Source organism: Homo sapiens, chromosome 16 (assembly GCF_000001405.40).
Source record: "Homo sapiens chromosome 16, GRCh38.p14 Primary Assembly".
NCBI lineage: Eukaryota > Metazoa > Chordata > Mammalia > Primates > Hominidae > Homo > Homo sapiens.
Window position 1 is genome coordinate 17,241,991 of NC_000016.10, and position 23,643 is coordinate 17,265,633.

The 23,643-nt window shown below is 46.4% G+C and overlaps 1 protein-coding gene across 3 annotated transcripts in view, besides 3 other annotated features; it reads right to left on the reverse strand.

Moving 5' to 3' along the window:
- The window catches only part of XYLT1 (xylosyltransferase 1), a 369,192-nt gene that overhangs the window by 140,222 nt on the left and 205,327 nt on the right, over positions 1-23,643 (reverse strand). For all 3 annotated transcript variants that reach the window (XM_047434458.1, NM_022166.4, XM_017023539.3), the window contains one exon: positions 16,998-17,508. In XM_047434458.1, the coding sequence (XP_047290414.1) occupies positions 16,998-17,508 (511 nt within the window). The remainder of the gene's footprint in view (positions 1-16,997; positions 17,509-23,643) is intronic.
- Positions 10,302-10,401: an enhancer, noted in NCBI's record as "active region_10503". NCBI's record gives its function as "activates an Ori minimal core promoter by ATAC-STARR-seq in GM12878 lymphoblastoid cells {active_cell/tissue: GM12878}" and the evidence as "EXISTENCE:reporter gene assay evidence [ECO:0000049][PMID:35858748]".
- Positions 17,111-17,160: an enhancer, noted in NCBI's record as "active region_10504". NCBI's record gives its function as "activates an Ori minimal core promoter by ATAC-STARR-seq in GM12878 lymphoblastoid cells {active_cell/tissue: GM12878}" and the evidence as "EXISTENCE:reporter gene assay evidence [ECO:0000049][PMID:35858748]".
- Positions 17,321-17,720: an enhancer, noted in NCBI's record as "active region_10505". NCBI's record gives its function as "activates an Ori minimal core promoter by ATAC-STARR-seq in GM12878 lymphoblastoid cells {active_cell/tissue: GM12878}" and the evidence as "EXISTENCE:reporter gene assay evidence [ECO:0000049][PMID:35858748]".

The window sequence follows — 23,643 nt, forward strand, 5'->3', positions numbered from 1 at the left end:
GGCAAGAGATAACTTCAGCTGGGGAACTCCTCTTTATAAAACCATCAGATCTCCTGGGACTTATTCACCATCATAAGAACAGCAAAAGAAAGACCCACCCCCGTGATTCAATTACCTCCCACTAGGTCCCTCCCATGACACATGGGAATTGTGGGAGTACAATTCAAGATGAGATTTGGGTGGGGACACAGCCAAACCATATGAGCAGGGGTTGGCGAATTATGGTCTTGGGCCAAACCCAGCCATCCATTTTGTAAACAACATTTTATCAGAGCACAGACATGCCTATTCATTTATGCACTATCTACACATTGAGTTGAGTAGTTAGGACAGAGACCTTCTACTCTGCAAAACCTGAACTATTTATTATCTAGCCTTTTACAGAAAGTTTGTCAATCCCTATGTTAAAGTGTAAATCAGATTGTGCTACCGTCTTGCTCAAGACCCATCCAGGGCTCCCTACGACCCTAGAGTAAAGGTCAAATGACTTATCTGGAACAAATCATCTAGCCTCACTCTGCAGGAGAATTGTCATCTGTGAAATGGGAGAATGAAGAAGCCTACTTCACCAATTTAGAGCAAGATTTAAATGAGGCAATGCATGTTTCAGAAGAGCTATTTTTAAAAAATGGTAAAACACACAACATAAAATTTACCGTCTTAATCATTTTAAGTGCACAATAGTGTTAAGTATATTCATATTGTTGTGCAACCAATCTCCACAACTTTTTCATTTTGCAGAATTGAAATTCTACGGCCATTAAAAAACAAATCCCTGTTTCTCTCTCCCTCAAGCCCCTAGGTCTCACCATCCTACTCCTGTCTCTAGGAATTTAATTACTCTAGATACCTTGTGTAAGGGGGAATCACACAGTATCTGATCTATGGTGACTGGCTTATTTCACTTAGCGTGAAGTCCCCCAGGTGCATCCATGTTGCAGCATGCGATAGGGTCTTCTCCCTTTTTAAGGCTGGCTAGTATTCCACTGTATGTGTAGACCACATTTTGTTTATCCTTTCATCTGTTCATGGACACCTGTGTTGCCTCCACCTTTTGACTACTCTGAATAATGCTCCTATAAACAAAGGTGTACAAATGTCTCTTTAAGACTCTGCCTTCAATTCTTCTAGGTACACACCCAGAAGAGCTAACTTTTATTGAGCACTTTCTAGAGACAGCCTCTGCTTTAATAATTCACACAGATCCTCTCATTCTATCCTCACAACAGCCCTACAAGGTGAGAACTATTAAGACTATCATCATTAGGGTGACCAGATAACTTATTATGGTCAGTTTATGAAAAGCCTGCCAATCCCTTTGTTAAAGTCTAAATGAGATCACAGCACTGTCTTGCTCAAAACCCATGCATGGCTCCCTAAAGGTCAAACGAATTATCTGAAACAAATCATCCAGTCTCACTCTATAGGAGAATCCTCATCAGGTTAGAGTGAGACTGGAGAACTCTTGAGAGGAAAAAGGGGCTCCATTACTAACTATACCAGGATGACAGGCACAGATCGGGATTGTCCTGGGCAAACCAGATACCAATCATCATCCCCATTCTATAGATTAAAGATCAAGCAACAGAGCAGTGAAGTCCCTTGCACAAGGTCCCGAGTGAGGGAGGGGCACAGCTAAAATTCAAACCCAAGCCGACCGACTCAAGCTTTCACTGCTAAGCACAGTTCTATGTGCTTAGCACAAGGAGCGGCAACGGTCAGCAATCAATGTGAGGTGTCTCATTATGGACTCTTCAGGCTGGGGAGAGGGGTCTTCAGGACGCAAAGGGTCATCAAGGGCTGAGAAAGTCAGAGGGGTGAGGGGGAGGCTTTTCACACCCAGGAGTGAGACTGTGGATGCCAATGTGTCCATACCAAATGTGAACTTGCCCCATGGAGAGAAGCAGATGCCCAGGTCTCCCACCATGCTTGGCCACGGCACCATGGACATTTTGGACTGGAAAATCATTGTGGGGATGTCCTGTGCATTGCAGGATGCTGAGCAGTATCCTTCGTGTCTACGCTTTAGATGCCAGTAGTACCCCCTTTCCCAGTCGAGACAACCAAATGTCTCTAGGCATGTCCAGACGTCCCGAGGGGCTCAGTAGCATTGGTTGCAAACCACTGAATCAGGGAAAGGGCAGAACTAGGGGGAACAGGATGTTCTCCCAGGTCCGGGCTTCTCAAAGTGTAGTTCTGGAGGGCAGCAGCCTCTGGCAGAAGTGTGATTTCTCAGGTTCTGTCCTCGACCTGGGTCAGAATCCCTGGGGGTGGGGCCTTGGGGGGTCTGTTGCCAACACAAGCCCAAGTGTGGCCGGCAAGCACTGTCCTTGACCACGCAAGAAAATTGCTGGGATCTCGGAGGACTAGGCACGAGAGATGTTACTAACGTGAAACCTGAAGAGGGATCCCAGGCAGAATGCAGGATGGAAGATGAGGATGTTTTAGAGGCTGTCAAGGTCCTGTTGGTGACCAATACAGGATATACTGTTATAACCAATACAGGCTTTTCACAGGGCAGTTTGATGCTGTCTATCACAATTTAAAATGGGCAAGCTGTTTGACCTGCCAATTCTATTCTTCAGATGCTCTGTAGCAGCCAGTCTCAACTCAGGATCCCCAAGAGAATTAAGCTCGAATGTCCTGGGGCATCCGTTGTAGGTAGCAAATTAGCTTTTCTCTGATGTATCCAGAATGGTACTAGTTATGTACATCTTTGAGAGATCTGAGAAAACAGTCACTTAGTATAGTAAAAAACTGGCAACAACCTAAATGTCCCTCAATAGGGGAATGACCAATTACACTGTGGTGTATCCATACCCAGAGTTATATGGTCAGCTACTATAAAGAAATAACTTAGGTCTCTAGCTCCAGGCAAGGAAACAGACCTCAGACCTGGACATGTGCAACAACAACAAAAAAATCATCTAACTTGTGAATTCTTTCATCCCACAGCCAGATACTATTAATATATTTTTTACAAGTTTCAGATTTATACATCAGTTTCATATGATTTATGAATCTCTTGTCACAAAACCACACTCTTTTTTTTGACATGTGTTGAGTTTAGATATCTAAAGAAAAACAAAAATGTACACACAAGTGCCACTGCTCAGATGGGACTGACGGATCAGGGTGGATTTTCCCCTTATCTGCAATGTTTCAGTATTTTAAAATAATGAGAATGTATACAGCCTTGACTTGAGGAATTAGATTTTAACAAGCATCCTTTCTGCATTATTTGGGCAAGTTCTTAAAAATCGTGAGGAGAATTCTCCTTTCCCTGCCTTCTCACCATCTTTTCACTTTGGTCGCTGCAAATATCACCGGGGACTGGCTCTTGGCAGCCTCCCAGTTCCTCTGAAAGGTTTCTCACTCTATCCATGCCACACTTGGAGGTGAGCTATTAATTTGCGCTTTGTGGCTCAGCTCGATTCTGATTTAGGGCAACATAAACCCTCCTCAAAATTGCGAAGAATAAATTAGTTTACTAATTTCGCCATTAAGAGTTTATCAAAGCAAGCACTATTTCAATCGTCTCTTAATCAATCACCATTTTCCGTGTTTATCTCCTGTTCAATTTTTACCAGAGGGTTCTATACACATCAATTTGTCTGATGTTCTTCCTACATATGTTTTAAATTACTTTATCATTGTATAAATTTCACAGCCATTAAAAGGCTCTAACACCAGAATGACTGACATGGTGTTAAAAATTGAATTCAATTCCACGGGGTAATAAATTGTGACCTAAATCCAATCTCTCATGGGTGACTGAAGGATACAATGAAAAATTATTGCTTTGTCATTTTTACACTAACACAAATATACCACAGCAACTAGAAACTGGCAGAGAAATGGGAGGTAACCGCGGCTGGCTATTTCTCACCCCAGGCAATGAACTGACTTCAAACACAAGTCCTTAGCGTCTTGGATGGGATTGGCGCCCCCGCCTCCAAAAGCAGGTGAATTATCTGACTGTGTGGGTGGGTCTCATTGCAACAGACAGATTGAGCACAAGGAGCAAATGTAAGCTGCAAAGGGCTTGCTTCAGCCTGAATGCAGCTGCTCCTATAGACACCAAAGTGCAGTGGTTAAGCCCCTTGCCACGCCACTGGAACCAAAGTCTCTGAGCTCAGAGCCTGGCTCTGCTACTGGTGAAATGTGTAATTCTGGGTAAGTTTTCTGTGTCTCAACTTCTTTGAATACAAAGTTGTTATGAGGAATAAATGAGTTAATGTGGCTAAACCTTCTTAGGATAGCCCTTGGCATTTAACAATCCCTACGTAGAGGTTAAGTGTTATTATTTAAGAGCAGTTTCTTGTATAGAGACCTTAGCTCCCTGTTCTTTCTGGCTGCAGAGATGGAGAGTAACAAGTATCAATAGCTAGAGAAAGGTGTTGATTAACATGCAGTGCATTTTCCTTTATCTCTGGAGAAGCTAGATCAGTCATTTAACACATCTGGTTCCACATTTACTAAGGGTACCACAGAGCAGACAAGTTAAGGTGTGGGTTTTGAAGTTAGGCAGAAGTGGGTTTGAGTCTAAGGTCTGTCACTTGCAAATGTGACCCTGGGCAAGCTACTTAACCTCTCTGAGGATCAGTTTCTTCGTCTGTTCAATGGAACTAGAGAACATCCCTTCTCCAGGGCTGTGCAGGAGTCGCGATGAGATCACACATGCAAAGTGCTCGCCTCCACACCTGGCATTCAGGAAGTGCCTAAGAAATGTGGGTTCTCGTGTCCTAGCCCCGTGCAGGCAGGGGCTGGAGATCCAGTGGTGGAGACTCAGGATATGCTATAGCAGCCAGTCTCACCTAAGGGTCCCCAACAGAATTAAGGGTACTCAGCCCTTGTGGCTCAGTGTGGGCTACAGAGCACTCCAGCAACCACGCTATCCTGTGACATGTACCCCAGCAGGGAACAGGCAAGGTGGTTTGGGGGCACACAGCTTGAGCACCTCACACAGACTTGGAGAGGTGCAGTGTGGGGAGACAGCATCACAGAAGGCTTCCAGGAGGAAGTGGCATTGATATGAATTCCTAGCCCTGGACTGCCAAGTAATTTGAGAGAGGAGAAAAGGCCAGCTAGTTTTGTTGACTTATGCAGAAAGGAGAGATAGCTAGTCTTTTCACTCTAGGGCTTATTTCATTCATTCATTCATTTATTCATTCACTCATTCACTCATTCATTCATTCAAGGGCCATGTCTGGGCTCCTTCCTTCTTGCACTAAGTCTCTGTCTTGGGGACCCTGGGTGGCAGACACACAATCAGTTGTGCCCAAGGGAGCAAGCCTCTCATGGAGCAAGAATTCTATGTGCTCTTCGAATCTCCATTCTCTGCCTTGTTCTGGGGCAGCTACTGGGCAAGAACTCATGGAACGCCAAGAAAATCATCACAAACCACCCTGCCATGGAAGCGAGTCTCCCATGCCCACCTGCAGGCTTCCAGAACCACAAGAGCTGCCAATCGAGAGGTGGCCTATGGCTGACTTGTAACAGGTGCTTGGTAAATATTTGCTGGCTAGACCGATGGATTAATGAAAGTACACTCAAATACGGTATTTTATTCAGCAACCTGAGGAGGCAGGGGAGGCCCTTGTGCAATCTGTTTTATAGGAAAGACGTGAGGCTCAGAGAACACAAGTGCCTTGTTCAAGGCTTTCGCAGCCGATAAAGTGGCAGAGGGGCCGCAAGTCTTTTGAGTTTGGTTCAAAGGCTTCTCCTAATCCAGGGTCAGGTCAATGATAGTGAAACAGCCCAGGACACTGAGTCTATGACATTGCTGGAGGCACTGAGGATTTCCTTCCATGGCTTGGATGTCATGAGAAACAGCACTGTAAGAGGAGGAAAGACCTCCCAAAGATGTGTACCCTAAATCCAGGGCTAAGAACTTGGGGGCAGGGGTTGCTTTCCTGATCCAAGATGACCTCTTGTTCAGGGCTCAAAAGTGGAAGAAGCATGATTCTGTAGAGAGAGGATGTGAGACCTGCCCCCCAGTCCCAGCCTGCCAGACCCTTACCTTTGGGGCTGATATAGTTTGGCTGTGTCCCCACCCAAATCTTAAATTGTAGCTCCCATAATTCCCATGTGTCATGGGAGGAACCTGGTGGGAGGTAACTGAATCATGGGGGTGAGTTTTTCCCTTGCTGTTCTCGTGATAGTGAATAAGTCTCATGAGATCAGATGGTTTTATAAAGAGGAATCTCCCTGCACAAGCTCTTTCTCTTGCCTGCCACACTATAAGATGTCTTTTGCCTTCCGCCATGATTTTGAGGCCTCCTCGGCCACATGGAACTGTGAGTCCATTAAACCTATTTTTCTTTATAAATTACCCAGTCTCAAGTAAGTCTTTATCAGCAGCATGAGAACAGACTAATACAGGGGGGCCTACCTTCCCCTCAGGTCTCTGGCAATTTCAGTTCAGTACTGAGAGATGCCTCTACCTCCATTCTCCTTGCTCAAAGCAAAGACACAGATCCTCTAAACCTAGCACTTTTAGGAATTACAACTTGGCCTACGAGCAGATTAACCTTTTTGCTTATAGGAAGAGCTCCCCTGTTGGTCTTGTGAGTGTTTTAAACTATCAACACCTCTGCCTACCCGAGGGCCTTTGCACACGATACTCCCTTGACCTGGAATGTCCCCCTCCAGCTTTTCCTCTAGTTAACTTTCACCACCCTTCATCTCTTAGCTCAACTATAAAACACAACTATGCAACTCCCCAGAATTGCTGTTGCAATTTTACATGTGAATTTTTTTTTTTTTTTTTTTTGAGATGGAGTCTCGCTCTGTCATCCAGGCTGGAGTGCAATGGTGCAATCTCAGCTCACTGCAACCTCCTCCTCCCGGGCTAAAGCAATTCTCATGCCTTAGCCTCCTGAGTAGCTGGCACCCAGGTAATTTTTGTATTTTTAGGAGAGATGGGGTTTCACTATGTTGGCTAGGCTGGTATCAAACTCCTGACCTCAAGCGATCCACCTGCCTCCCAAAGTGCTGTTATTACAGGCATGAGCCACCGCACCTGGCCTACGTGCACATTTTAATGATCGTTTACCCCTGTGTTTCCCTACCCAACTTTAACAGGCCACAAGCTCCCTGAGGACGGGGATTCTATCTGCTTTCCTCCCAAATGAATCCATCCAAACTAGTTCCTGGCATAGACAGGGGATGCTCGATGACTAATTGTTGAATGAGGGTATATTGAAGGGAGCTGGTGACAAACAGTTTCAGGTCCCAGGTGGTGGATGCCATGCTCAGAATACCACCTCCACAGAGATTCTAGATGCCCATTTCCATTGCTTTGCTTGGTGCACACAGGCCTCTGTAGAGACCCCAGTGTGAAGGGAGGTTGAGCCACTGAGGCTAAAAGCAACCACGTTATCTTCTTTCCCAGTGAGGGCAAGACTGAGGATTATGATGTGCCAAGCACGAGATATTCAAAGATGAGTACGATCAGGCCCCTGGCAAGTCTTTCCCCACCATCTAAACCAATGTCAGGCACAAAGCAGCCTCTCAATAAATATTAAATGAATAAAGGAATTCAGCATATCCAAAGACTAGGAACTGTTCCATTTGCAAGCAGCTTAATTCTTAGCAAGTTCTTCCACAATGAGACCAAATCTATTTCTGTTCCTTCTCTAGGCACCTATGTAGTTTTTTTGTTTGTTTGTTTGTTTGTTTGTTTGTTTGTTTTGAGATAAAGTCTTGCTGTGCCACCCAGGTTGGAGTGCAGTGGTGTGATCTCAGCTCACTGCAACCTTGACCTCCCGGGTTGAAGCAATTCTCATGCCTCAGCCTCTTGAGTAGCCGGGATTACAGACATGTGCCACCACACCTGGCTAACTTTTGTTTTGTTTTGTTTTAGTAGAGATGGTGTTTCTCCATGGTGGCCAGGCTGGTCTCAAACTCCTGGCATCAAGCAATGCACCCACCTTGGCCTCCCAAAGTGCTGAGATCACAGGCGTGAGCCACCACACACAGCCTGTAGGCACCTATCTAAATGGTTCCCCACCTCACCTGTCCTCTCATCCTGCTCAACGTCTTCAAATAAATCATAGAGTCATATCCAGACATTAGATTGCAGATGTGGCTATTCACTTGTCACCTCTGGTCTCTCCTATTCAGGTAGAAGCTCCATGAGGGTACAGCCATCTAGACGCCCAATTGATTTCCAGAACCAATGGACATGGTACTCAAGTGGCACAAGGTGTTCTCTGCTCTTGTTCACAGCTCTAACTCCAGGTCCTAGAACAAGGATTGGCAAACCACAGCCTGTAACTATCTATTTTGGCATGGCCCTTGAGCTAAGAATGGGTTGACATCTTAAGTGGGTAGAAAACAAATCAGAAGTAGAACAGCATTTCACAACAAGTGAAAATTATGTGAAACTCACATTTCGGTGACCATAAATGACTTGAACTGAAGCATGCCCACAATGGTCATTTGTTGATGTGTTGTTTATGGCAGCTTTCACGCTACAATGGTAAAGTTGAATAGCTGAGACAGAGACCATGCATTTTACAAAGTCCCAAATATTTATGATCTGGCCCTTTATAGAAACTGTGTGTGTGAGGCCCTGTCCTGGAGCACAGCCTTGAATGTGGTGGCTGACCAATGAATGGGTCTTCTGATGTTCTCTGGATTTGCCAGTCTCTTGCCTTTCCCCAGCAAGCCCAAGGAAGACCTTTGGGACTAGTTTTGTCCAACTCCAATGAACTGTTACTGGATACCTCTTCCTTCCTGGGCTCCTCAGAAGGAGATGCCAAAGGGCCCAGTTGGAACTGCAAGGGCCGCCTTGGGAAAGCCCGTCAACCCCACCCACTTAGCCAAGCTGTTCCTGGTCAATGTGGCTTCATCACATCACCCTCATTAGCGTGGTACCTTTTAACTTTTCACAGCTATTCCCTCATTTTCTCATCATTGGTGATACAGCAAAGGATCTGGGAGAAAGTAGTATCTCTGGCTGACAAATGGGGAAACTGAGGTATTTACCTGGGACCACTTGTGACATCCCCAGTTCTATTTTCCCTCCACTGCGGCTGTCAGCTACGCTTTCTAGAAGCCGGCTACTCACGCTGTGTAGTTACCCCACTGCCCCCAGGGCAGGAGGGATGTAGAAGAGACTGCCCTTAAGCAGCTGGCAGTATCATCTGCCAGTCTCTCTCTGCAGCGAGCGGCCAGCCTTCCCCCCAGAATCCCCATATCCAAAAATCCATTCCTGCAAAGGCTGATGGGTAAAGACGGTTTGTTGCTGCCACAAAGAACCCCCTTCTGTTCATCCTCACCCCTAACACCTGTGCCAGCTTCCCCAGTCATGCGCAATTTCCTTTGCCCATCACCCATTGGAGAACTGCCGACTTCACTCAGATGCCCAGACCGGGGTTCCCCACTCAAGTCCAACCCACCCAGCTCCCAGCCAATCATCTTCCCTGGAACTTCTCACATTTTTCATTTCTAATTCTTCACCTGGATGTCTAGACTGCAGACCCACAGGTCACTTACAGCATCTATGTGGTGGCTTAACCAGACCCAGCAAAGGGGAAGAAATGCAGGAGCAACGCAAGGAGCCAGCAGGGCCTTTCTTGGGACATTTTAACTCAAGACACAGAGAGGCTGGTGGCCGTGAGGGCCACTGCACGGAGGGCGCTTCCTGACATGCAGGTGTTCAAAATGTAATGAGGCAGAAAAAGCTGTGTCACCTGGCAGCTGGCACAGATTGCCTCCTATGGGTCGCAGGTGAAACAGCCTTTATTGGAAAAGATGCTTTGACAATGAAAGGGGCAGAGATGCACCCTTCACCCAGGATCCATGTGTTCCCTGCAACCAGGGCTTCTGGGGAAGAGGTGGTCCTGGAAGGCTTCCCAGAGGAAGCGCATTCAGGGTGGGATCTCCAGAGGCAAGAGGTAACAGCCAAAGTGGGGTGAGTGGGAGTTGTGGGGACAGGGAGGGGGCTGGGGAGGACTGGAAGCTACTGGGGCTGTGTCTGAAGAGCAGACCCAGCAAGACGTGGCTGCACAATGGCTGACACCATCAAAGAAACCCTTTTCCTCTCCTCTCCTTTCCTCTTCTTGTCGCCCCTTCATTTAGACAACTCCTCCATTGCGACGATTAGGTTGGTGCAAAAGTAATTGCAGAAAAAAAAAAGTCATTGTGGTAATACTAACAAGCCAAGCACATCCACTTAACTTCCCCAGTGCACTCAGCATTTTATATGCATTGTCTCATTTCAGCCAACCACGCTATAAAGACAGAAGATGAGTTTTTGTGTCCATTTTACTGTGCAGACTGAGTCACTGAGCGGTTAGGGTTATGTCATGAGTAACGGCAGAGCCAGGAATTAAACCCCATTGCCCAAGCTGTCCTTGACTTTCAATCTGACCTGGTTCATTGCCCTGAAACACTAGGGGTTCCAGTTGAATGACCAGAGACCCTAGGGTGTGTGGCTCAAAACAAATTTCTCGGAGGCCATCACTGGGGGTGATGCAGCAGAGTCCCTTCCCCACACCTCACTGCATCTCCCTCTGCACGGTTGCCAGTGGACAGCCAGAGGAATCCCTCTTCCCCTCGTGAAAACAGCTGTCACCGAAAAGGGATGGAGCTGGGGCTTCCTTCTAAATCCCTTTTCTCTGGAAAGTAAAGGAGAAAAGTCCCGAGAGCAAGGAATGTCTCACAGAAAGCAAACCATCTCCTGGGCTTCTGGACTCGACATTTTCCCTGAGTGGTGGTGGGGTGAGGGGACAGAGAGCGTGAGGGACAGGAGGAGTGGGGGCGCTGTACCAAAGTCAACATTTAAAATCTATTTCTCTTCCCCTGAATTTTTCAGACTTGCAGCCATGAGGAATTGTTTCCTTAATTATATTCAACTTCCAGCACACTCTTGGCTGAAGTTTAGGTGATGTTGCGTAAAGCAAAATGAGAAACACAGGGCATCCATCTGTGTGTATGCTTATATGTATATGAATATTTACTCATATATTAAATTTCCCTCCACCCCTGTCTCCATCTCCTCATTTAGCAAAGAAATAAAAGGACCACTGGGCTGAAGCTCAAATCCCTCCTAAGCAGAGGGAAATCTGGGTGTCATGGTTTCCAGAAAGGGAACACAATCCCCGTATGGGGTGTAATTACATCTTAGCTTTCTGCAGAAGAATAGTTTATGGCTTAAATGCTATTAATTGTAAGCCGTTTTGTTCCATGGGAAGTTGTTCATTGATAACTACCCAATTAGGGTTATTTTGCAATTAGTCTATTCACAGTAAATTTATTGCAAATGGGGGAGTCTGTGGTGTAGCAAATTAAAGCGTCGCTGAGGCTGGGTGTGCAATGGCTTTTAAATGCCAATCTTATTAACCAGCTCACAGGTCCTGGGAGGGTGCGCTATCCTGGCCAGTGCACTAAAGGCCTCAGGACAAACTCCGGCAAACTCACACTGCAAAGCCATCCGGAGATAACCTCAGCATGACCAGGAGAAGTGCAGGAACCCCTGGCCTAAGATGCTGAGGTTCTGATTTTTTTGAACAACTGTGGAGCAGTCATAAAGCAAATAGGGATGCAATGTACATTAGCACTACCAGGTACAGTTCTTAGCTGTGTACTAGGCCCTTGGAAACCCTCTAAGCTAAGTGTGATGATGCTCATCTCCCCTTTACAGATGGAGAAACTGAGGCACAGAGAGGTCAAGCAACTTGCCCAAAGTCCTACAGCTTGTGCACGGGACACCTGGGATTCAGATCCACGTGGTCTGCCTCCACCACCCCAGGCTCTTAAGCACTGACAGCATCAGCACCCCTGGCTTCCCAATAATGCCCTGCCTTCTTCTCCCTTGCAACTTGAGAGAGAGAGAGAGAGAGAGAGAGAGAGAGAGAGAGAGCGAGCCTGCAGGTGGAAGAACACCTCTGGGGCTTGACAATGTGAGATAAAGTGACCCTTCTGCCTCCCCAAGAGGGACAGGCTTATGGAAAGGGATACAGGCTCTGTAACATGAGTTCCAGTACCAGCTCTGTCATCTGCTGGCCATGTGTTTCTGGCCAAGGACTCCCCTTCCTTGAGCCTCGATTTCCTCACTGACAAAAAGGGTTCACAATAGACTCAGCCTGTAGGGCTGGTGTGGGGACACAGTGTGACAAGGCAGTGTTGCACATATTAGCACAGGTGACCCTTGAACAGCACAGGTTTGAACCACACGGGTCCATTTATAAACAGATTTTCTTCCCTCCTGCCATCCCTGAGACAGCAGTAATACCAACCTCTCCTCCTTCTTCTCCTCCTTTTCCTCAACTCAACATAAAGACAAGGATGAAGGCCTTTATGATGATCCACTTCCACTTAATGAACAGTAAATATACTTTCTCCTCCTTATGATTTTCTTAACTTCTTTTCTCTAGCTTACTTACATTTATTTATTTATTTACAATTTTTTGTTGACAGAGTCCCGCCCTGTTGCCTAGGCTGGAGTGCAATGGCACAATCTCAGCTCACTGCAGCCTCCACCTCCCAAGCTTAAGCGATTCTCCTGCCTCAGCCTCCCGAGTAGCTGGGATTACAGGCATGCGCCACCACACCCAGCTAAGTTTTGTATTTTCAGTAGAGACAGGGTTTTACCATGTGGCCCAGGCTGGTCTTGAACTGATGACCTCGGGTGATCCACCTGCCTCGGCCTCCCAAAGTGCTGGGATTACAGGCATGAGCCACCGTGCCTGGCCTAGCTTACTTTATTATAAGAATACAGTAAATAATGGAAGTAACATATAAAATATGTGTTTATCAACTGTTTATGTTACCAGTAAGCTTTCAGTCAACACAGGCTATTATCAGTTAAGGTTTTCAGGGAGTCAAAAGTTGTGCTCTATTTTTTGACTGCAAGGAGGTTGGCACCCCTAACCCCAGAATTCTTCAAGGGTCAACTATAGACAGTGATAGCATTTTGCAGGGTTAAGAAAACTAAAAGCCCAAGGGCCAAATCCGGCCCATGGCCTATTCTTTCTTTTTCCTTTTTTTCTTTTTCTTTTTTTTTTTTTTTTTTGAGATGGAGTCTTGCTCTGTTGCCCAGGCTGGAGGGCAGTGGCATGATCTCAGCTCACTGCAACCTCTGCCCCTTGGGTTCAAGCAATTCTCCTGCCTCAGCCTCTAGAGTAGCTGGGATTACAGGTGCACACCACCATGCCCAGCTAATTTTTTTGTATTTTTAGTAGAGATGAGGTTTCGCCATGTTGGCCAGGCTGGTCTCGAACTCCTGATCTCAAATGATCTGCCTACCTCAGTCTCCCAAAGTGCTGGGATTACAGGCATGAACCACCACACCCAGCCAGCCTATTTTTATAAGTTAGGTTTAATGGGAACATAGCGCATTTGTGTATGTGTGGTCTCTGGCTGCTTCTGCCCTATGACGGATGGCAGACTTGAATAGCTGTGACAAAGACTGGCCCCCAAATCCTCAAATGCCTAAGATCTGGCCCTTCACAGAACAAATGTGCTGTCTCTGATATACAGAAGGAGCTCAATATTTCGTTCATGGAATGGCATTCAACTCAGGCCTCCAAAACTTCTCCACCAGGCACAGGTTAACAAAAGATGCTGGAAACGTTGCACTCCACTTAATTATTGCTACACTCTGTGTGCCAAATCTAATCAAGAATATAGACAGGAACCACCTCGACCACTTAGACAAGGGTGAAACAGCAAGGCAGAAAGGAAGCTTTTCTTTCTAAATCTTTCTATTTAAAAGTATCGTGTAGGCCAGGCACTGTGGCTCATGCCTGTAATCCCAGCACTTTGGGAGGCCGAGGTGTGTGGATCATTTGAGGTCAGGAGTTTGAGACCAACGGGGCCAACATGGTGAAACCCCACCTCTACTAAAAATACAAAAATTATCCAGGAGAGGTGGCAGGCACCTGTAATCTCAGCTACTCGGGAGGCTAAGGCAGGAGAATCACTTGAACCTAAGAGTTGAAGGTTGCAGTGATCTAAGATGGCACCACTGCACTCCAGCCTGGGCGACAGAGCGAGACTGTCTCAAAAAAACAAAACAAAACAAAACAGATAGAAAACAAAAGTATTGCACAGACACATGCTTGCTACTAGAAACTAAAATAATATAGATGCACTTGTTAAAGTTGTCCCTGCTGCCACCCTGTCCCTGCAGATGGGGGGGCCATAAGGAAGGTTTGCTGTCTATCCATCCAGCCCTCTTTCTGTGCAATGAGTGTAGGTGGCCACCTCCTATTTGATCTAAATCCTCTATTCTGTGACCAGTGGTAAACACAGAGGCACATATTTAAAATGAAAAACACCTCTAATTAACTGGGGGACCTGGCATAAGTCTCCTCCCCTCTATGAGCCTCATGTTCTTATCTGTCCAGGGAATCGAATGAAGAGTTCTCACCAGGCGCGGTGGCTCACCCCTGTAATCCCAGCACTTTGGGGGGCCGAGGCGGGTGGATCACTAGGTCAGGAGTTCAAGACCAGCCTGGCCAAGATGGTGAAACCCTGTCTCTACTAAAAATACAAAAATTAGCTGGGTGTGATGGCGGGCGCCTGTAATCCCAGTTACTCGGGAGGCTGAGGCAGGGAACTGCTTGAACCTGGGAGGTGGAGGTTGCAGTGAGCCGAGATCATGCCACTGCACTCCAGCATGATGACAGAGTGAGACTCCGTCTCGAAAAAAAAAACAAAAAAAAGAGTAGCGAATGAAGAGTTCTCTTAAGAGGTCTTTTTAGTCTACTTTTCTGGGGAGCCATTCTCTTGCTGCACTTCCTTTCTTCATCAAGAGAGTTGGGTGAATTGACCATTTGCCTTCTCAGGAGGACACCAGGCAAAGCCTTGCATGGCTCCCGGATGCACCGATGCCGGTGGAACGGAAAGCCCTTCCTCCCCAATTCTGCAGCTGGCTTGATTCTCTGACTTTATGCCTTGACATTGAGCAGCACCTCAGTGGATCCCTTCCAGCTGCATCTGTTGACCCTGACACCTCCCCAATCTCCATCTAGCTCGACTCTGACATGCCCCCAACCCCATCGGAGCCCCCAGAGCTCTCTGTTGCCTCCTTGCTGGCCTCCGTGCTCATTTAAGGGTCTTTTCCCTTCGGAGATAACAAAAGCAGGGGTTGGTATTTGGATTTAGAAGCGACAAGGGGGTACTGTGAACCTTTGGCCACTTTGTGAGGGACAGCTGGGCTGGCCTTGCAGTGTGGCCCAATGAGAAGGAGGGATGGCCAGGAGTAAAGAGTGAAGTAGGCTCCCAGGGAAGGTGGAGCAAAAAGACCCCTAGAATGCAAGCTGCTCCCTGGACAGATAAGAAATCTAGGCCCTGAGAGCAGAAAGGACTCTCCCTGTTAGCTGGTAGCTGAGCTTGAATGAAATCCACACCCGTTTATTTCAAATGCATTCCTCTCTGTTTGTTGCTAGTGGCACCAACTCTTCGTGGGAAGGTGCCTTTTGGATGCTATCCGCCCTCTCCACAGAGAAAACCACTGAGCAAACGAATTCACAAACATTTTGAGAATATCTTCTCCAAGGAAAAAAGTAAAATTTAAGAGTGCTCCCAGAGGCTGGATTATCGTAAGCTATGGTGGCAGGGGCTAGCGGGAGGGAAGGGGGCGTGCCCTAAACAACAGTGACCACGAGTCAATAAACAGCGACCACGTGGCTGGGTGATGGTACATTGGGGTTCTCTCTACTCTGAGTGGGTCCGAAATTTCCTGCCATAACAGTAAGCTTGTAAGATCACTTAAAGGCCATGTGACCTTGGGAGAGGGATTTTACATCTCTCATCTGAAAAAAATTGGGCTCATGACATCAGCATCAGCCTCAGAGAGTGTTGGATGTGATAAACAAATTGACTGCACAGAGCCTGGTGCGGTGTCTAGCACACAGCGAAGCCTCAGCAGCCCCCTGTGGCTGCTGTCATTCCCCTTCCAAGGGCACTAGAGAAGGTGAAAATCACTACCAAGAAATACACATCAATGGCACGATTGCACATGCGCTAGTGAAACTGGACTCCCCATCTTCAGATGGCCCCTCCACTCTGCCTGTGAATTTCTGGATCAGAGCTTGGATCCCTCCGTGTCTCAGCAAGAGAGCTGGTTTATCATCAGGTCATCCGCACATAAAAGAGTGCCAGTGAAGGGAAAGAGGGAGGGGAAAAGCAAAGAGCAAGGAAAGGTGGAAAGAAGGAAGGAAGGAAGGAAGTAAAGAATGAAGGAAGGAAAAGAAGAAAGGAGGGAGGGAGGAGAGAAAAATTAGGAAAGAAGAGGACAGAAAGCAGGAAGGAATGTAGAAGGGAAGAAAGAAAATAGGAAGAAAAGAGGAAAGGAGAGAGAAAGAAAATTAAAATAAGGAAGAAAGGAAATAGGAAAGAAGGAAGGGGGAAGAGAGGAAAATAAGGAAGGGAATGAGAAGAGGGAAGAAAAGGAAAGGGAGAAACAAACCAGGAAGAAAATGAGGAAGGAAGGGAGGAAAAAGGGAGAAAGAAAATAAAGGAATGAGAAGGAAAGAAGGAGGGAAACAGGAAACATATGAGGAAGAAAGAGAAGAGAAGAGGGAAAGAAACTTTTGATGAAGGAAAACGGAAAGTTACAGAGCCTCTGAAGTTAATGCAACCAATTAGAAACCTCTCAAATCATAATCAATTACAATAATATTCATATCAATTCTAATCCCAATATTCTACTGAAAGAGAAACGAAACCATATCAATACAGCTCCCTTGGCTCCTGCCAGCATCACATCAGCTCCCGATTTCACTATAATTTCATCCTTTGCCATAAAGGCAATGGGTTAAAGCACCTACAAAAGGTAATCTGATTTTGCAAAATTTTTCTGATACAAGACTTCAACACTCAGGGAGTACTAGAACACATCAGATCTCGTGTGCTCATCTGGGGTTTGGAAAACAGGGTGGCCTTTCTCAGAAGGTCTGAGAAGGTGAGCAGAATGGGGCTGGGCAGGAGGAGGAAGTGGCCAGGAGATCCCTCTCTGAGCCAGCGGGGTTGGAACTTACCCTCGAGGGGGCAGAACCGAGTCACCTTCTCAGGCATCAGCAGCCCTAACTTGTGGCGGCAGTAAGTCTCCCCAATCTCCTGGCGGCAGTGCTTGGACTTAGCACGGGACAGGGCAGAGATGGCCTCCTTGCCTGAGATGTCACACTTAGGGGGCTGGTCATACTTGGTCTCGGGGGAGCTGCCCCCAGTTTTCCTGGCATGAGGCGGTCTGGACACATCCTTCCCGTGGCTGCTGTTGGCTGCGGCTCTGTCCCCGGGAGGCAGCACCTCACCGGGGCCTTTCCCAGGGAATGTATGTCCTTTTCCTTTCTCCTGCTGTTCCAGCTTCCTTTTCAAAAGCTCCTTCTGTCTACTCGGTGGCTTCTTCGCCAACTCAGGCTGGTGCTTCTGCTTTTGAGTCCTGGGTGCGAAGTTGCTGTTGTCGACATTCTCAAAGTCTTTGGGGACAGAGTTCTCGTTGTTGCTGTCTGTTCGCACTTTCTCTTTCGGCCGATGAGAAAAGTAGCCATCCTGGAGAAGAGGGGAGAGAAACAGAAGAGAAACTTGACTGAGAGATCATGCTAAGCAGACTGGCCTTTGAAGAGTGAGTCATACGGACTTGGAAGCCGGGGCCATAGTTTCACATCCTACTTTTGCTACTGGTTTAACCTCTGGTAAGATGGCTCTCTCTGGACCTCAGTTTCCCCATCTGGAAATAGGAGATGTTCCAACCAGAAACCAAGGCTTTTTCAAGCTCTAAAGTGCCATGACTACGATTCTCAATGCTTCTTATTAACCACACCTTTTCAAGTCAGTTTCTTTCCTTGACTGTCTTTGCCACTGGGTAACAAACATTTTGTTCCAGCGTCCCGTTTAAATTCCAGCTGAAAGTGCTGTGATGGTTTACTTAAGGGCTGGAAATGATATAATAAAGTTATAAAGGGAAAAATATTGGTAGGATATTACATACATTCCATTGCCTTTAGGACATGCTCATATATCTATGCCCATAAGAGAAATCAGACTGAGCCGTTGTAAATTCTGTGGGAAAGAAACCAGCCGCAATTTTTTTTTTTTTTTTTTAAGAGGAATGCAGCCCTTGTAGAATAAACTTTACACTAAGTCCTGGAGCAAAGCAAACTTGCGACACTCTTGTGCTTGAGTTTGGCTCTTCATGTGTGTACATGGAACAGAAGTGATGAAGTCATTTGGGGTCAAGACAAAGATCAGGAGTCATTCTGGAGACCACGCATGGCATGGATGTTTCCAGAAGGGCTGGACCCCAAACTCAGCTCCTCCATGGGTAAATGGGTCCTGGTTACTTTGATCAGTCGAATGATCAAATGCATCATTCAACCAATGCCCCAAATTGTTTCTGCAACATGTTGCTTCTGCTTAAAGCTCATTCCCAAGGCCTTAATCTGAAAGCATATCCAATGTCCTACAACACGGCCCCTGACCTCTGAAGCCACAGAGAAGAGTAATGGCTCCATATAGCTGCCCTTGTTGCTATGGAAACACAGGGGCAATGGGCGGCATCCCTGCTAGTCCTCCTTTTAAGGAGGGCTGAAATATGCCTCTTACCAGTTCCCAAGGAAAAAGGTGTCGGGGCCTGAACAGCGGATCTGCAGGGGTACCCAAGAGCAGCTGACCCTCAGCAAGGCTCCCACCCCAGCAGGTCAGCAAACAACTGCCTGTGTTTTTTATAAATAAAGTTTTATTGAAACACAGCCATACCTGTCCATTTGTGTATTGTCCATGGCTGCTTTCCTGATACAATAGCAGAGTGAATAGTTGCAATAGAAACTTTCTGGTCTGAAAAGCTTAAAATATTTCTATCCAGCCCTTTAAGAAAATGTATGCAGACCCCTGCTCTGCTGGAGTGTGAGTTAAAAGGCCTCCTCCTCTGGGACTGGGTTAGTTGCTTCTGTCCTCACCATCCATATACGACTTAGTGATGGCCTGGAGAAGAAGGTGCCCCTAGGACTGGGCGTGGTGGCTCACACCTGTAATCCCAGTACTTTGGGAGGCCGAGGCAGGTGAATCACTTGAGGTGAGGAGTTTGAGACCAGCCTGGTCAACATGGCAAAACCCCATCTCTACCAATAACACACACACACAAAAAATAGCTAGGGGTGGTGGTGCACACCTGTAGTCTCAGCTAACTCAGAAATCTGAGGCAGGAGAATTGCTTGAACCTGGGAGGCGGAGGTTGCAGTGAGCTGAGATTGCACCAATGTATTCCAGCCTGGGGGGAGAGTGAAACTGGCTCTCAAAAAAAAAAAAAAAAAAAAAAGATGCTCCTCTAGCCTCTGCTCCATTGCTCCTAGCAGTAAGCACGAATTTCTCCTATTTGTTGGAGGCTCTGACACTAAGACACCTTGTGGCCATTCTGTAAGCTGAGTACTGCTATGACTTTCATTTTGCAGATGGGAAACTAAGCACCCATGAACAAGTGACTTGCCCAGGGTCACCCAGCTAGTTGGCGGTGAAGCTGGAATTCAAACCAGGCAGATCACAGACCCCACACTCTGGGCTACCAGGGACATGATCCACTTCCAAGAAATTGTATGATCCTTATTACACCCATCACCCAAAACCCTTAAGTACTGCAAGCTGACACTGAACCACAAGATCTGGCCCCTCCCACCCAGCTAAATGAATCTGCTAGAGGTGTGTGACCTCCAAATTGCAATCTTCAGGCTGGCTAGTGGCCTATTGTGTTGCAGGAAGTCATATAGAGACAGTAAGCAGCAGCCACGAAGCACGTGGAGTCTGAGGCTGCAGGAGCTGGGAGGTAACAAGGTAGGAAGAAGGAAAAAGAACCAAGAAAAAAACAGCTGACCAGTCCATATTGGGTCACAGGGCGGCTACTGGTTGTACACAGGAACTGCTTTTATATCCTGACCTATAAATGAGGGCCTTCTGCTTCTGGTCTTTCTTATTCTCCACAGATACCTACAAAAAAAATCCCCTTCAGTTGGTACCTAGAGTACATCTTTATTCTTGTAACCTAAACAAAACCTGCTGATGTTCCTCTTTTCCCTTTTTTTCTATCCAGAGGCCCTTGAAGAGTCCCAAGCAGCCTCTCAGGCGCATTTTCTGAGCTCTTACCATGAGCCAGGCACCACAGTAAGTTATTCACAGGTATTACTTATAGGGTACTGACAATTGGATGTATTTATCTTGCCATTTTATAGAACGAGGAGCCAACGCTTGTTGTGATACATTCTTCACTATGGATCACGTGCTAGGTGCCATGCTAAGCCCTTGGATGCAGTACCTCACTTAACTCCTGGAAATAATTTCCAACGTAGGCACTACTGTTCGCCCACCTTACAGAAAAGGGTGGAAAATAAGGTTGGGGATGTCGAGTAATTTGCACAAATTCATGTTGGGGAGGCAGCGAACTTGCATCTGCCTGATTCTAAAATCTGCTATTGTATCACGCCTCTTGTGTTTTGCTGAGAAGTAAATCAAGAAGCATTCAGTTCCCCTGCAGTGGAATAATGGGTATCACCATCTTTGCTCATATTAGCGTCTGTCGGGATGGAGCTGATGGGGCAGGGGTGGCATTCAATAAAGCTATGAAAAATCATTTCTGTTCCATTCCTTCTAGGGATGTGTTAGGATTGTATGTCCCTATCCCTTGTATATTAGGCACAGACAGGAAACATGCTATGGCCAAGAGCAGTGACTGGAACCCATAAGGTGTCATTCCCTGGATACCACAATATCCAGCCACACTCCTGCTGGTGGAGGTCATGCATCCCTGAGTGAGGCCCATGTGGAGTAGAGACTCTACCAACCCTCAGTGTGCAGAAATTGACCCCTGCTGCTTTGAGTCACTGAGATTTGGGGGATCTGTGTTACTGTAGCATGGTCTAACTCATCCCGATTAATCCAGGAGCTAACCTGATCTCCTTTCTTCCTTTGAGCTGAGTCAGGTACAGGAGCCAATTTTTTTCTCCCTCCAACAGACAGAAACATCTATTGACGACTCCCATGCTCCAAGAACATAAATTTAAATTCTGTCCCTAAGCCCATTTTCTAGAAGTTTCTAGAAATGTCTAAAGGGCAGGGAGTAAGCCAGAAGAGCTACTGCCCTGATGGACATCTTCGTTTTCTCTCTTCAGACATATCCTAAGTGTCATTCTGGGGCCCTTCTCTTTCCTTGTTATCAGCAAGTTTCCCCGCCACACAACAGAAAACCTCCACAAACCCCCATTTCAAAAGCTCCTGTTCTCCATCACTTTCTGGCTGAACTTTGCCAAGCAAAACCAGACAGAAAACACTGCGATCATCTCCCTCCACCCCCCACGGCCAATGAAGCTAATCTGACAATCAGAGAATGGCCAATTCCTCTGGCTAATGTGTAATATCAGGAAGAGGCACCACCATTGATTCTGATGGGACTCATGATTAATACCCGCTCTCTACTCAAGACAGGCCACCACAATGGCGATGATTAGCTTGTGGTGGCCCTGTGAACTTCTGCCTGGCCCCAGATGCTACTCAGCTGCCATGGGAACCCAAAAGATTTGAGTATAAGAGGGAAGGAAAATATTTTGTCTTCTGGAACAAAAGGGCTCACAGATACTAGATCGCTTCCAGAAAAGTCAGAGAGAGGCGCAGTCAGCGAGAATTGGAGGCCTGAGAATTTCTGTCCCTCAGAGTCACTGTCATTTTCTATAGTGACTGCGGCGTTCTCTCTGGCTTCCCCCCTTCAATTCATTTTTTTCTTTTCTTTTCTTTTTTGAGATGGAGTTTCACTCTTGTCACCTAGGCTGGAGTGCAACGGCGCCATCTTGGCTCACTGTAACCTCCGCCTCCCAGGTTCAAGTGATTCTCCTGCCTCAGCCTCCTGAGTAGCTGGGATTACAGGTGTGTGCTACCACGCCCGGCTAATTTTTGTATTTTTAGTAGAGACGGGTTTTCACCATGTTGGCCAGGCTGGTCTCGAACTCCTGACCTCAGGTGATCCACCCACATCAACCTCCAAAAGTGCTGGGACTACTATGATAATAACACTTAACATGAGATCTACCCTCTGAACCAATTTTTAAGTGTGTATTATTGTTGACTATGCAGCTATAGTCAACACTATAGTACTATATGCAACATACAGCAAATTGTTGTATATTGTTGCATGTACTACTATATTGTTGGCTATAGTACTGCACAGCAGGTCTCTATGGCTTCTTCATTGTGCATGCATGATTGAGATGTTATGCCTGTCCATCAGCAACTCCCCATGCTCCTCCCCAATCCCCCAACTCCTGGCAACTACTACTTCACTCTCTGGTTCTAGGATTCGGACTATTTTCGATAGCTGATAGAAGCAGAATAAACACGTGTACTATCTGTCCTTCTGTGACTGGTTTCTTTCAGTTAGCATAATGTCCTCAGAGTTCATCCATGTTGCTGTATGTTGCAGGATTTTCTTCTTTTTGAAGCTAACATCCATTGTGTGTATATGCCACATTTTCTTTATCCAGCCATCCAAGGATGGACATGACATATCACTTCATGTTCCCCCTAACTCTTCATCTGACTGCCAAGGGGCAAACAGATTTTGGCTTTTCTGTCCTTTCTGTGGAGACTCAAGATCCAGAAAGCCAAACCCAGGATCCCTTCCCTTCACAAAACCAATCTTGGGAGGTCTCCAGGCAGACCCATAAAAAATAACCATCATATGCCCAGCACCCAAGTGGCCCATGCTCTGTGTCCTTTGAATCTTCTTGAAAACTCACCAAAACAGACAGTATTAGTACTCCTTAAGAGGAGGAAACTAACATAGAGAGAGGTTAAATAACTTGACCGAGGCTACACTGCTAGTAATGAAGTGATTCAAACTCTCTGTGTCTCAGTTTCCTCATTTAAAACATTGGGATGATAACACCTTGGTATCCATGGGGATGATAATAATATCCATCTCAGGCCGGGCACAGTGGCTCACACCTGTAATCCCAGCACTTTGGGAGGCTGAGGCGGTCGGATCATGAAGTCCGGAGATCGAGACCATCCTGGCTAACACTGTGAAACCCCGTCTCTACTAAAAATACAAAAAATTAGCTGGGCGTGGTGGCACGCACCTGTAGTCCCAGCTACTCAGGAGGCTGAGGCAGGAGAATCGCTTGAACCCAGGAGATGGAGGTTGCAGTGAGCCAAGATCGTGCCCTGCACTGCAGCCTGGGTGACAGAGTGAGACTCTGTCTCAAAACAAACAAACAACACCTCACCTCTTGGGTAATTCAGTGAGGAAGAGTGTATGTAAAACTACTAGAATATGCCCACCACACAAAGCTGGAAGAAGAATGAGCAGTAAACCAGACTGGGGAACTCTACCAATTAACACTCTCTCTCCCCTGACAGTCTCTGCCTAGAGGACAGATGGGTTATTATTTCGCAATTGTGATCAACTGGCATCATCTTCTCTACTCTTCATCAATCCAACTCTCTCACCTTGAGTTATTTATGCTAATGCAACCCTTTGACTTACTTTATTTTAATGTACTTATTACAATGATTGCACATTCAAATGTTTGTGTGCAAGCTCCAAAACTCTAATTGCTCTGCTGTTGCCTTACCTCTAAGCTGCTGCTAGAATCCATTTTTATTCTGGAGAAATAATTAAATGCAATAATGTCCTCCATTCCCATTCAA